Source organism: Homo sapiens, chromosome 3 (genome assembly GCF_000001405.40).
Source record: "Homo sapiens chromosome 3, GRCh38.p14 Primary Assembly".
NCBI lineage: Eukaryota > Metazoa > Chordata > Mammalia > Primates > Hominidae > Homo > Homo sapiens.
Genome location: NC_000003.12, coordinates 119,144,992 through 119,159,899, shown reverse-complemented (window position 1 = coordinate 119,159,899; position 14,908 = coordinate 119,144,992). Strand labels below are relative to the sequence as shown.

The following is a 14,908-nucleotide window of genomic DNA, read 5'->3' as shown; positions in this document are numbered from 1 at the left end:
CCTGCACCTAGGGAGAATGAAAAACAATTTTTTTCCACTAGCAATTTTGGTTTACTTGGAATTACCATATTTTGTGAGGCTAAAATATGTAGAGATTCAAAATACAGAAATCCTTATATTGAGATGGTGCAAATAATTTGTACTTTGATACATCAAGGACATATGTTACAATCTCTGTGGGAACCATTATAAAATATCGTGAGGATTATAAGAGCAGTGACCACATTCTGGATGAGACTGTAACAGTAGATCCATGTCATATATATATGTCCAAAACCCACAGAATGTACAACACAAAGAAAGAACCCTAATGTAAACTATGGTCTTTAGTTAATAATAATGTATCAATACTGGCTCACCAATTTGTAACAGGTGTACCACACTAATGCAAAATGTTAATAATAGGAGAAATTAGTGGTGGGAGATGAGGGAAGGGTAAGGAGATATATGGAAACTTCTTTCTGCCCAATTTTTCTGTAAATTTAAAACTGCTCTAAAAAATAAAGTTCACTAATTTAAAAAATTTCCCCAATAAGAAACAACAAAAAATAAAAGTAGATAGCTTCTAAGCCAACAGAGGGAAAAAATGGAATGATAAAAGAAGGCAAAAAGTAAAGAAAAAGAAACATAACAAGTAGGGCAAATAGCACATAGCAAAACAAGAGATTGAACCTCAAATATATCTTTAATTGTACTAATTGTAAATGGTTAAAAACTTGCCATATTTGAATACTAATGATAAAAAAGCAAAAACTCAACTATATGCTATTTATAAAAAACATATCTGAAACCTAAGAACAGGGGAAAATTAAAAGTAATAAGGATAGAAAAATATAGTACCATTTACATGTTAACAAAAATAAATCTGGTATAGCCACAGTAATGTTGAACCAAGTAGTCAGAGTATGTGATATACCTCTTTATAATAAATAGTTAAATTTACCAGAAATAAATAAGAATTCTAAATTCATATACACTTAATAACATAACCCCAAGCACATATACACAGCAAAAACTGACTGAACTATAGGGAGACAGACAAATTCACAATCATATTAGAAGACTTGAACAACATGTTTAGTAAGCCTGACCCAATGGATACATTCAGAACACTTGCCAATGATTGCAGAATAAACCTTTCTTTTAAACTACAAAAAATTTATTCACAACTATTAACCATATGCTGTATCATAAAGCAAGTAAACACATTTCAAAGATTTGATGTTATACGAAGTATGTTCTATGAGCAAAGTGCAATTGACTTAGAAACCAAAAGATAACTACAAAATCCAATATCTAATAATTTGTACAAATAATATAATGTCCCCAAACCCATAAGTTGAAGAAGAAATTATAATACATATTAGAAACTATCTAGAACTAAATTAAATGAAAATACCACATATTTAAATTTATGTGATAAAGCTTTAAATGCAAATATTATTTTTTAACAAGGAGGTTCTGCTTCCTAAATACACGAAAGGCACTTAAAAATGACTCCTGCAGGTAACAGCTGTATACAATGGACAAAATAAAACACCCACCTCACCCACTACAAACAAACCAACACAAAAATCAAACCAAACCAAAACATAACTTCCTGAAGGCTCTGGAGCCTAAACAAAGACAGATAAATTTTAAAGGAAAGTCTAAACTTGGACCAAGTGACCAAAATGAGTTCTTCATTTCTTCAACTTTGACCCAATAGTAATAACAGTCATAGACAGCTGTGGCAGTGCAAGAACGCCTAAAACTCTGATAAGAAATCCTGCTGTCTTTCTGTATGGAAGAATCAGGGGAAGTAGCCTGGCCAAATATGACCAGATTCTGAAGAGTGAGGGAGAATTCTGAAAGGGGAAAAAGATTCTCCAATATTGTGTATGAACTTCAGGCTGACCCCTAGAACGTGTACTCATAGGACAAATTCAAAGTAATGTGAATTGATCTGAGCGATGACCTGTTAATCACATGAGGCAAGAAAGAACTTACTTTGAATCTAACCATATTAACTGCCATTTTAAAAAAATCAACATTTATCAGAAGACTATAGCTAATCTCAGTCTACACAATATAATATTAACGATATCCCAGGTTATCTAAAATTATTCTACTTATAGAAAACATAGATATTCACTTTAAATGAAAAAGACAATCAATAGATGCCAACTCCAAGATGATCTGGTATTGAGGTTACTAGACAAGCACTTTATTTTTGAGACAGAGTCTCACTTTGTCACCCAGGCCGGAGTGCAGTGGTGCAATCTTGGCTCACTGCAACCTCCACCTCCTGGGTTCCAGTGATTCTAGTGCCTCAGCCTCCCAAGTAGCTGGGATTACAGGTACACACCACAACACTCAGCTAATTTTTTTTTTTTTTTTTTGAGACGGAATCTCGCTCTGTCGCCCAGGATGGAGTGCAGTGGCACGATCTCGGCTCACTGCAAGCTCTGCCTCCCAGGTTCACACCATTCTCCTGCCTCAGCCTCCTGAGTAGCTGGGACTACAGGTGCCTGCCACCATGGCTGGCTAATTTTTTGTATTTTTAGGAGAGACGGGGTTTTACCATGTTGGCCAGGCTGACTTCGAACTCCTGGCCTCAAGTGATCTGCCCACCTTGGCCTCCCAAAGTGCTGGGATTATAGGCATGAGCCACTGCACTTGGCTCTAGACAAGCACTTTAAAGCAGCTGTAATAACTAACTATGCTCAATCAAATAAAGGAAAATACACCAGAAATGAAGGAAAATGTAGGAAATAGAAGACAGAAAGTAAAAAAAGAGGAACTGAAGAAACCACATGGGGACCTATCAAAGGAGTGAGAGGACATAGAAAACAGAGAAGAGCAAAGCTGAGCAGCCAGTCACCTGGGACTGGCCTGGAGGCAAGTGAAGCTCCCCAATAAGGGGAAAAGGTGAGAACCCACAGGGGATCCACACTACCCACAGGGACTTATGCAATCCTAGGAATGGAAGAACACCCATGACTCCCACAGGACCTCTAGACTGATACTGAGAATCATCTAGATTTCTGCAGAAGCAACATTAAAGTCCACAGGGACACCCACAGGCCTTGGGTGCTGGAACAGCCTGCTGCAAGCTGCCATAGCCCCAATAAAGGCCACAGTCATGATGCCAGAGAGCAGTCAGATTGCTCCACTCCCCCTCAACAGATAAGGCTCAGTGTCAGCTTCCAGCACAGTGGTCCCACACCTGCCTGAACTCTGGCAGGAGACACAGTTCCTGCTTTTTCTCCAGGAAGCACCCAAACAGCAGATGAGGTTACTCTACCCACTCCTGCTGCTCCTAGGCAAGTGTGACATGCTGGATGGGGCTTCCAGCAGAGAAGACCTGCCTCTGCCTAAACTCTGTGGGCAGGTGCAGCTACATGTTCTCCCAGGAAGCACCTGGATGGTGGGCCAGATTACTCCACCCAACCGCTGCTCCTAGACATAAAAGACTCCCTGGCTGGGGCTTCCACACAGTGGCCACACCTCTGCCTGAACTCTGTGAGTGGGTACAGCTCTGTGTTCCCCCAGGATATGCCTGGATAATGGACCAGGTGACTTCATTCACCCCTTCTGTTTCTAGCTAGGTGGGACTTACTGATTTGTGCAGCTCCCAAGCAAGGGGGAAGCTCCCACTCTCAGAGCAATGAAACTGGTGAGACGCCCAGGTTCTCAGGCTGGTTGGGGAGCGGGTGTGCCTCCCTCCACAGGGCCAGTTAGGGAAGGGTATGGCCTGACTGCCAGCTGTGGCCCCTGCCTGAGGGAGTCCTGCAGCCCAGAACACCTAACAAAGGAAAGGCAGGTACAGAGCTAGTGATTGGTGGTGGCTCCCCCAAAGCCCAGGAGTGAACCTAGTTGAGGGGGAGTGGTCATCTCTCTCTTCTCTACTGCGGAGCACTACTGTGAATGTGTCAAAATACAAAAGAGCAGAGGGCTAAGAGCCTATCTGCTGGCTACTACTCTTAAGCACCGTCTACTGGATTTCAGCCCAAATTATAACACTAAAAATATGTTGCCAGTATACAGCATCTGTGAAACCTAAAGTAAAAACCCAGCCACAAAAATTCTGCACAGAGCTTTGGACCTCTTAAAGCAAGCAGAAATGAAGCCAACTGACTATACTCAACTTCCATCACAGTTAAAGAAACACTAGCCCTCACACATGAGAAAGAATCAATGCAAAATCTCTGGTAATTCCAAAAGCCGAAGTGACCCTTTACCTCCAAATTAACAGACTAGTCCCCCAGCAATGGTTTTAAACCAGATTGAAATGACAGACAGAATTCAGAATCTGGATGGCAAGAAAGATCATTGAGATCCAGCAGAAAGTTGAAACCCAACCCAAGGAATCCAATAAAATGATCCATTTTAGGAACTGAAAGATGAAATAACCATTTTAAGAAAGAACCAAACTGAACTTATGGAATTGAAGAATTCACTTCAAGAATGACTAATACAGTTAGAATCATTAACAGCAGAATTGACCAAGGTGAGGAAAGAATATCAGAGCTGGAAGACCAGTTTTTAGAATAAATTCAGTCAGACGAAAATTTTTTTTAAATTTAAAAAATGAATAAAACCTCCAAAAACATGTGGGATTGTGAAGGGACCAAATCTATGACTCGCTGACATTCCTGAGAGAAAAGGAGAGAGAATAAACAGCTTGGAAAACAGAGTGAGGATATAGTTCATGAAAATTTTCCCAATCTCACCACAGAGGTGGACATATAAATTTAAGAAAAATAGAGAACCCCTGTGAGATACCATACAAGACAAGCATCCCCAAGGCACATAGTCATCAGATTCACCAAGATGAACATAAAAGAAAAAAATCTTAAAGGCACTCAGAGAGAGAGGTCAGGAACCTACAAGGGGAACCCAATCAGGCTAGCAGCAGACCTCTCAGCACAAACTTGGAAAAACCATTACCAGCCACTATAAAAATACCCCAAAGTACACAGACCAACGACACTATGAAACAACTATGTTAACAAGTCTTTAAAATTAACCAGCCAGCATGATGATGACAGGACCAAATTCACACATAACAATATTAGCCTTAAATGTAAATGGGCTAAATGCCCCATTAAAAGACACAGAATGGCAAGCTGGATAAAAAGACAAGACCTATTGGTGTGCTGAACTCAAGAGACATCTCACATGCAAAGACACACACAGGCTCAAAATTAAGAGATACAGGAAAATTTACAAAGCAAATGGAAAGCAGAAAAAAGCAGGGGTTGCAATCCTAGTTTCTGACCAAATAGACTTTAAACCAACAAAGGACAAAAAAGACAAGGAAGGACATTACAAAATGGTAAAGGGTTTGATTCAGCAAGAAGAGCTAACTCTTCTAAATACATATGCACTCAATACAGGAGCACCTAGATTCATAAAACAAGTTCTTAAAGACCTACAAAGAGACTTAGACCCCCATAAAACAATAGTGGGAGACTTTAATACCCCACTGTTACTATTAGACAGATTGTCGAGACAGAAAATTAACAGAGATATTCAGGACTAGAACTCAGCTCTGGACCAACTGGACCTGATAGATATCTACAGAACTCTCCACCCCAAAACAACAGAATATACAATTTTTTTTGGTGCCACATGGCACTTACTCTAAAATTGATCACATAATTGGAAGTAAAACACTTCTCAGCAAATGTAAAAGATGTGAAATCATAACAAACAGTCTCTCAGACTGCAGTCCAATCAAATTAGATCTCAAGGTTAGGAAACCCACTCAAAACCACACAACTACATGGAAATTGAACAACCTGCTCCTGAATGACTTTTGGGTAAATAATGAAATTAAGGCAGAAATCAAGAAGCTATTTGAAACCAATGAGAACAAAAAGACAACATACCAGAACCTCTGGGATATAGCTAAAGCAGTCTTAAGAGGGAAATTTATAGCCCTAAATGCACATCGAAAAGCTAGAAAGGTCTCAAATCGTCACCCTAACATCGCAAGTAAAAGAACTAGAGAACCAAGAGCAAACAAACCCCAGAGCTAGCAGAAGACAAGAAATTACCAAGCTCAGAGTGAAACTGAAGGAGATAGAGACACAAAAAACCCTTCAAAAAAATCAATGAATTCAGGAGCTGGTTTAAAAAAATATCAATAGATAGGCTGCTAGTTAGAGTAATAAAGAAGAAAAGAGAGAAGATTCAAATAAACACAATCAGAAATGATAAGGGGGATACCACCACTGACCCCACAGAAATACAAACAACCATCAGAGAATACTAGAAGGTATCACACTAGGTGAATTCAAAGTATACTACAAAGCTACAGTAACCAAAACAGCATGGTACTGGCATAAAAACAGACACATAGACTAAACGGAACAGAATGGACAACTCAGAAATATATCCATGCACTTACAGTCAACTCATTTTTGACAAAGATGCCAATAACATATTTTGGGGGAAAGAACAGACTCTTTAATAAATGATGCTTGGTAAACAGGATGTCCATATGGAGAAGAGTAAAACTGCATCCCTATCTTTCACTGTATATAAAAATCAACTCAAAATGTATTACAGACTTAAATGTAAAACCTGAAACTTCAAAAATACTAGAAGAAAACATTGGACAAATGCAACAGGACATTGATCTGAATGAAGATTTTCAGGTAAGACCTCAAAAGTCCAGGCAACAAAAGCAAAACTAGACAAATGAGATTACATCAAGTAATCTCAAGTAATCTAGCCTCATTAAAAAAAGCTTCTCTGCACAGCAAACAAAATGAGTTAAGAGACAACCTACAAAGTGGGAAAAATATTTGCAAACTATTCATCTGACAAGGGATTAACAACTAGAGGAACTCAGACAACTCAGCAAAAAATAACACAACTTTAAAATAAGCAAAAGATCTGAATATACATATCTCCAAATAAGATATACAGATTGTCAAGATGTACATGGAAAAATGCTCAACATCACTAATCATCAGGGAAATGCAAATCAAAACCACAATGAGATGCCATCTCTTCCCAGTTAGAATGGCTATTATCAAAAAGACCAACAAACAAACAAACCAACCAACAACTAAAACAAAAAAGCAAACCACCAAACAAACCAAGTGCTGGTGAAGGTATGAAGAAACAGGAATACTGCACACTATTGGTGGAAATGTAAAGTATTACAGCCATTATGAAAAATATATCAAGTTTCCTAAACAAAGCTAAAAATAGAACTACCATATAATTGAGCAATCCCACTGCTGGCTATATTTCCAAAGGAAAGGAAATCTGTTTTGAAGAGATACCTGCACTCCCGTGTTTACTACAGCGCTATTCAAAAATTCCAAGGTAAGGAATCAACCTAAGTGTTTATCAACACATGAATGGATAAAGAAAATGTGGCACATATATATAACGGAATACTATGCAGACATAAAAAGAAGGAAGTCCTATTATTTGCAGCAACACGGATGGAACTGGAGGTCTTTATGTTAAGTGAAATAAGCCAGGCACAGAAAGACAAACGATACAATAGAAAAATAAGTATTTCCAAATGGCCAATAAACAAATGAAAAGATGTGCAACTGCCTTAGTAATCAGGAAAAAGCAAAATGAAACGGCAATGATATATTACTATTCACCTATCAAAATGGCTGATGCTAAAAACACTGATAGTAGTAAGCATTGGTAAGGATGTGGAACAATTGGAACGTTTACACACTGCTGATGGGAACACAAATTGGTATAATCACTTTGGGAAATTGTTTGAAATAATCTACTAAAGCTGAGGAAACACACACCCTATGATCCAGCAATTACTCTTCAAGGTATGCACTCAAGAGAAATGTGTTACCAAAGGACATGTGAAAGAAGGTTTACAGCAAATTTTTTGTAATAACTCCAAGTTGGAAACAACCTGAATTCCCATCGAAAGTAGGATAAATTCTGGTATTCTACACAATGAATACTGTACAGCAGGCTTGTCCAACCTGCAGTTTGTGGGCTGCATGTGGTCCAGGACAGCTTTGAATGAGGCCCAACACAAATTCATAAACTTTCTTAAAATATTATTAGTTGTTTTTTTTTTGCGATTTTTTTTCTCGTCAGCTATCACTGTTAGTGTATTTTATGTGTGGCTCCAATTTGTCTTCCCAAGTGGCCCAGGGAAGCCAAAAGATTGGACACCCATGCCAATTAAAATGAATGAGATATAGCCACATACAACAGCATGGATCAATCCCAATGACATAATTTTGAGCATAAGAAACCAGATACAATTGATTATATATGATATGGTTCCCTTTATATACAGTTCAAAAGCTGACAAATATAAACACAAGTGTCTCATGATTCAGGTTTAGTGAAAAATTATAAAGAAAAGTGAGGAGGTCATTGTCATAAAGGTGATAAAGAATCCTTTTGTGGGAAGTAATAACTGTGAGGGAAAGGAAGGGGGCTTCTGGGATGCTGGTTATGTTTTATTTATTTTTTAAAAACTTGAATGGTAGTTACAGGTATGTTTACTTCATAAGAATTCAGAGTTGTACGTACTTTGTTCTATACACTTTGCTGTATGTGTGCTGTATTTTACAATAAAGAGAATAAAAAGGTTGTTCTTTTTCTCCAATTCTATACCTGGCACAGCATAAAATTCAGGGGGTCCTCTGGCTTTTCATAGACTAAGTTTTCAGTAATCTGCTGAGAAAGAGAGCATAAGGCATCACATTATGGTTCTGAGCAAAATTATGTGGTCAGGTTATATTTGATGCTATCTTTCCCACTAACCTAACACATACCATAGCTTTTGTTTTTTTCAGAGATGGGTTCCCACTCTGTCACCCAAGATGGAATGCAGTGGTACTATCATAGTTCATAGCTCACTACAGCTTCAAACTCCTGGGCTCAAGGAATCCTCCTGCCTCAGCATCCTGAGTAGCTAGGACTATAGGTGCACACCACTATTTCTGGCTCACTATGGTATTTTGAAGAAATTCGTGTATTTCTACAAAGTAACAGCTTACTTTATTATTACTAATAAAATTAGGCAAATTAAGGTAAAATTTAGAGAAATAGAAATTTAGTATAAATAGCAATTGATATTTTTACTAGTTTCCAAGATCACAGAGATAGGGAGAAAGTTTGGAAGATAATATTTGTTTTGAGAACTGTGGTCTTGCTAGATTGAGAAATTAATAAATTATTTGCTTTGAAGAACAGTACAAGAAAAACCTTCTGAATAAAAATTTTAAAACACTGCACAATTTTGCATAGAAACTTCCTTCTGAGACATTTGATTCTAAATGGCAAAAATGATGTTCAGTATTATAATATTATGAAAAAGTATATATAAAACTTTAGATTCACTTCATACTTTTGTTGTTATTGAATAAATTAAAAAATTATAATAAAGTAAGCACAATTCTCACTTGCAGGGCATAAAAATCAGGCAAATTTCAGGATAAAATAATCAGGTCTATTTAAGGCACCAACATCATTCCATTATGTATTTTATATCTATTTCTGTTGAACACACATTTAATTACCATTTTTTCCTATAACAATGTTGCACGCATAAGCAGTTTTTTTCTTCACAGGTGAAGAAAATTATAAAATGATTAAAACTCTACTGTCTCAATGGAAGTCTCAACAGGTTTCATCCTTCAGTTTAATAATTAGTAGTTCTTTAATTAAAGCCAGAAACCCAGACATTAGTACTCTTCCAACAAAAAGACGTTTGAAAAAGGAAAAGGCATAGACCAAGGTTAATGAAGTAGACATCACTTATCCTTACTTTATATGAGGAATCTTAGGTTCACAAAAGTTAAATAATTTTTCCCAAATCACAAAGATAAGAAGTGCAAAGTTAGGATTTGAGACTTGGGCTAACAGATTACAAAATCTGTGCTCTTTCCTCCATGCTCTACTTCTTTGCATTCAAAAATTTTCAGTTTAAAGGTTTTCATTTGAGGTAAGCCATTCTTATTTTACACCTTTCTAACCACAAGTTCCAGCACCACATTCTGAGGTCAATGAGATTTGTAATTTGAAGAATTAGAAGCAATTTTAAAGTATATCTTTTCCCCTCTAGAGAATGTGCCTTCTTAGATGGTCACGAGATTGGTCATCTTTTGAAAGTATAGTCGTGTTCCATATAGTGATGTGTTTCAAGATTTTAATGGAGTTGAAAAATTCCTATTGTCTAGTGACGTCATAGCTGTCATAATGCCATAGTGCAAAGCATTACTCATGTGTCTGTGGTGAAGCTGGTGTAAACAAACCTACTTTGCTACCAGTTGTATAAAAATATAGCACACGAAGTTATGTATAGTACATCCTACTTGAAAATAAATGACTATGCTGCTGGTTTATGTACTTGCTATGTGATTTATTTAGAATGTACTCTGTCTACCTATTTAAAAAAGTTAACTGTAGAACAGCAGGGAGGTTTTTCAGGGGGTATTCCAGAAGGCATTGTTATCACAGGAGATGACAGCTCCATGCATGTTATTGCCTCTGAAGACCTTCCAGTGGGACAAGTTGTGAAGGTGGAAGACAGTGATATTGATGATCCTGATCCTGTAGGCATAGGCTAATGTGTGTATTTGTGTCTTAGTTTTTATCAAAAATGTTTAAAAAGTAGAAAAATAAAAGTAAAAAAAATTTAAAAATAGAACCACGGTTACAGAATAAGAATGTAAAGAAAAACATTTTTGTATAGCTGTACTATGTGTATTTTAAGCTAAGCATTATTACAAAAGTCAGATTAAAAAAAATTAAAAATTTATAAAGTAAAAAAGCTACAGTAAGCTAAGGTTAATTTGGTTTTGAAGAAAAATATGTTAAAAAATTTAGTGTAGCCTAACTGTATAATGTTTCTAAAGTCTACAGTATTGTACAGTAACATCCAAGGCCTTTACACTGACTCACCACTCACTGACTCGCTCAGAGCAACTTCCAGGCCTGAAAGCTCCATACATAGTTAAGTACTCCATAGAGGTGTACCATTTTTATCTCTCATATGGTAATTGTACTGTATGTTTTCTATGTTTAGATACACAAATACTTCCCATTGTGTTACAATTGCCTACAGTATTCATTATAATAATGTACAATACAGGTTTGTGGCCTAGGAGCAATAGGCTATGCCATATAGCCTAAGTGTGTGGTAGGCTATATCATCTAGATTTGTGTAAGTACACTGATGTTTACACAGTGACAAAATTGCCTAATGATGCATGTTTCAGAACTCTCAGAAGATATCCTTGTTATTAAGCAACACGTGATGGTATAATACTTCTGCCTGGATTGCCTTTTTCTCTTCTTTTCAATTGATAATATTTTGTCCTTCCTTCCTAGACTGGCTATTTAACCCTTGGCCAAGTTTTTCCCTATCAACCAACCTACCTGATCTCTAATCCCTCTGAATGGCTTCATATGATGGTATCATCTATTTGGTGTTTATCATTTACTACTTATGGTAACTACATCTTAATGCACTTATTGTCTTCTCAATTAGAATATATCCCTTTTTACAGAATACACTCTTTCTTGTACCTCTTGAAAAACTTATAATTAAAGAGAGGAATTGAGAGGTTTACCTGGAATATTTGCAGAATGTGGTGTTTTTCCATGTATTGGAGTGAAACTTGGTAAGGATCTTCATAAACTATAGAAGGGAACCTTCTATAAGTTTGATTGCGTATATGATAACCCTTTCCTTGGTCAATTTCTGAAAATTCATCCTGAAATTTAAATCCCCCCACCAAAAAGTCCTTAGTAAACCTGAAGGGCCTAGGAATTGTCATTATCAGTGAAACCTGATGTTGATGAGATCTTAACACAAGGAGTTGGAGAAAATACACATTTTTAAGAGAGACTTGGATAATCCTCCAGGTCTCCAGGTGCAATATAATGCACCTCATGTCCTGGGAGGTACCTTAGGCATTGCCAATCAACTTCAAGTACTTTTTCCTTCACAGGGATGTCTAATCAACTCCAAATTCCCTTCTCCTGGTAGAAGCCCAGAGAGGGAAAATGACTTAATATCACAGAGTTAGTTGCAGAACTAGGACTTAAAATGCAGGTTTCCTGAATCCTGGTTTATTAATCCTTCCTGAATGGCCTTTGGGTAGTAGAGAAGGCAATAATTCTCTTTTATTTCCCATCCTTCTCTTGCCCTTCCTGAAATTATGGGTCACACATACCACAACATGTGGGTTTATTCTTTATCCTTGATGCAACATGTGCCCTTCCGTTGTACCCCTATTTTTACTCTCCAGGCCCCGTCTAGATCTCTGATCTCCCAGGTAGGTATCAAATGCCCATTTAACTTACAGATTTGGTTACTATGGCTTGAGTTTTTTCTTGACTGCTGGTATAGTTCAATTTGGATGAGATGGAGGGGAGTCTTGGGAAAAGAGCTTGGTCTTTTGCTTGGAAGTTACTGGTGAATCTGGCATCAACTGGGTTGTAGGGTGGGATAGTGGTTGCATTCTGAGTTTCCATTTCAACTGAAGGCTTGGAATTGAGGTCTACTTGGCTATCCTCAAATTTGCAGGGTTGTACTCTGTAGTCAGCCTCTTTGTCCTCTTTGCTGTTGCCTAACTGGGGAAATATTCTGTCTTCAGACTGGCCACGTGTTTCATAGTAAGACAGCTGGTCTTTATGATTAGCTTGTCTGTCTGCTAAGTGGTCAGTCTGGTCAGATTCAGTGTAGTGAGCATTGTCAACTGGAGGTTGATCAGCATTACTATGAGCTTGGTCAATAGCCTGGTGTTCAGCTAGTTCAGTGGCTTGGCCGTACACTTGGTGGTGAGTCTTTACAGATGTTTTGTGGTCAACGAGGCCATACAATCTGAGGTCAGTCTGCTCAGAAGTTCCTGGGTCAGCCAGGCCAGCCAATCTGTAGTCAGTCTTCTCAGAACTTCTTCTCCTAACTTTCCCTGACATTCTGCGGTCAATCTGTACGGAAGGTCTTTGGTCAGATGGTACGGACGATCCACTGTCAATCTGTACAGAAGGACTTTGGTCAGATGGGACGGATGACCCACTGTCAATCTGCACAGAAGGTCTTCTCTCAGATAGTTTGGATAATCTGTGTGTAATCTGCTCAGAAGTTCTTCGCTCAGCCTCGCCAGACATTCTGCGGTCCATCTGCTCGGAAGCTCTTCTCTCAGACTGGCCTGCCATTCTGTGGTCGGTCTGTCTGGAACCTCTCTGGTCAGATGGCATAGCCAGTCTACCATCAATCTGCCCAGAAGTTCTTCTCTCAGCCTGGGTAGGTAATCTTCGTTCAGTCTGTTCAGCAGTTCTTTCCTCCGTCAGGCCAGACACCTGACCATCACTCTGTTCATGCTGTACATTATTAGCTTGGCTAGATGCCTTGCCTTTAGTCTGTTCAGACGGTGTTTGATTAACCTGATCATCTGCTCTAAGGTCAGAAACATCAGCAGGGTTGGATGCTCTGCGGCCAGCCTGACCAGGTGTACTATGCCCATTTTGTTCAGCTACTCCGTTGGTAGCTTGGCTAAATATGCTGGATTCAGCCTGGCTAGGCACTCTTAGGGCAGTCTGGTCAGCTATTCTGTGAGCAGTGTGGTTATCTGCCTTCCTTTCGGCCTGGTTCTTCTGGTCGTCTTCTTCCTGGCCCTTAGTGTGGCCAGCACTTGAGGGAGCGGCTGGGCTTTCATGTTTCAAGGGTTCAGCCAGAGCCTCTTGCGGAGGCTCTTCCATTTCCTGCCGCGTCCCTGACTGGTCTAGGTTGCCAGGCACTGTGGGTGGGGTTGGGCTGGGTCGTCTAGGCGACCCTCCAGGAACGCCCCATGATTCCCACGGGCTTTGTTCGGGTCACTGCGTGCGTCAGGGAGAGTGGCCGTCCCGCTGTTGTAAGTGGAGGGACGGCAGTCAGCTGACCCTGCAGTGTGCAGGCGAGCGCAGGGAGTACGCCATGTCCTGAGAAGGGGCGATTCTCAGGCTCTGGCAGTTACAGCTTCTCCTCACCCTGCCGAGCAACCAGGCCACGGGGCTCCGTGCATCGCCACCTAGAGTGTTACCCTCTTCCTTGTTCACAGAGGTTCTCCGCAGTGTGTGAGAAAGAGGCCCTCTCTCAGGTACTGCTCCTCTGATTAACATCCCCCACCGCACCTCCAAATGTCAACAGATGAACACACAACCAGCTGCACGAGGACCACAAAACTGAACAGAGGTTGTTGCTATTGCCATCCCCTTTGGGTATAGCTGTCTTGGCAGTGGAAACTCCTGCCCCAAGGTGTTTTCTTGCTGGATTAGACATGTGATCTGTGGCGGGAGAGCCAGAGAGAGGAGAGAAGATCCAGTGAGAATGGGTTCTAAAACTGCACCATCTAGTGGTCTTACAGCAGAGAGGCGAGTTAGAAGGAGGCCAAATCAGAGTTCCAGAAAGGAAGGGAGTAAGGAAAGTGGGAGAAAGATACCAGAAGGAATATTTAGCAAGTGGAGAATTTGTATTTGATAGTGTTGGCCAGTGGGGCCCAGTTTTTGAGATTTGGTCCTCCCACTTTGCAATCAACCTTAAGAATGCACCTCAGAGTCAGTAGGCTGTCTACTTTCAGGAGTAGGCCAGTACAGAGGTGGTGATTGATGAGACAAATTACTTTGACCTTGCAAAGCCTGAAATCACTGAGGCAGGCCAAGGGTTGGTAGTGTGATGCCAGATATTCCTTTAGTAGGGATTTAACTGCATTAAACAATTAGAAATGAGACTTAAAATCCAAATTCAAATACTTGTGACAAAGGAGAGTGGATACACTTGACACCATACTTAGGAATGGAAAGGGGAATCTAAGCACACTGAAGTAAAGTCATTTATGTAACAGTGCCTAGAACATAATAGGTGCTCAAGAAGTGCTTGTTGAATGTCACTTTATGAATTATCTACCTTATTTATTTAAAA

General features: G+C 39.2%; 2 protein-coding genes across 4 annotated transcripts in view, besides 1 other annotated feature; one reads left to right on the top strand and one right to left on the bottom strand.

Moving 5' to 3' along the window:
* Positions 1 to 8,443: 8,443 nt before the first annotated feature.
* On the bottom strand, positions 8,444 to 13,735 carry TEX55 (testis expressed 55). Its single transcript, NM_152539.3, has 3 exons — positions 12,313 to 13,735; positions 11,577 to 11,720; positions 8,444 to 8,676 (listed from the first exon to the last, which is right to left on the bottom strand). The coding sequence occupies exons 1-3, from the start codon at positions 13,708 to 13,710 to the stop codon at positions 8,608 to 8,610; spliced, it is 1,611 nt and encodes a 536-aa protein (NP_689752.2). The 5' UTR covers positions 13,711 to 13,735; the 3' UTR covers positions 8,444 to 8,607.
* Positions 13,736 to 13,879: 144 nt separating this feature from the next.
* Positions 13,880 to 14,908, top strand: part of IGSF11 (immunoglobulin superfamily member 11) — a 245,464-nt gene continuing 244,435 nt past the window's right edge. For all 3 annotated transcript variants that reach the window (NM_001353320.2, NM_001353322.2, NM_152538.4), the window contains exon 1: positions 13,880 to 14,087. The gene's annotated coding sequence lies outside the window, so the exon portion shown is untranslated. The remainder of the gene's footprint in view (positions 14,088 to 14,908) is intronic.
* Positions 14,184 to 14,478: a silencer, noted in NCBI's record as "tiled region #3599; K562 Repressive non-DNase unmatched - State 12:CtcfO". NCBI's record gives its function as "represses a minimal TATA promoter and a strong SV40 promoter by Sharpr-MPRA in K562 cells {active_cell/tissue: K562}" and the evidence as "EXISTENCE:reporter gene assay evidence [ECO:0000049][PMID:27701403]".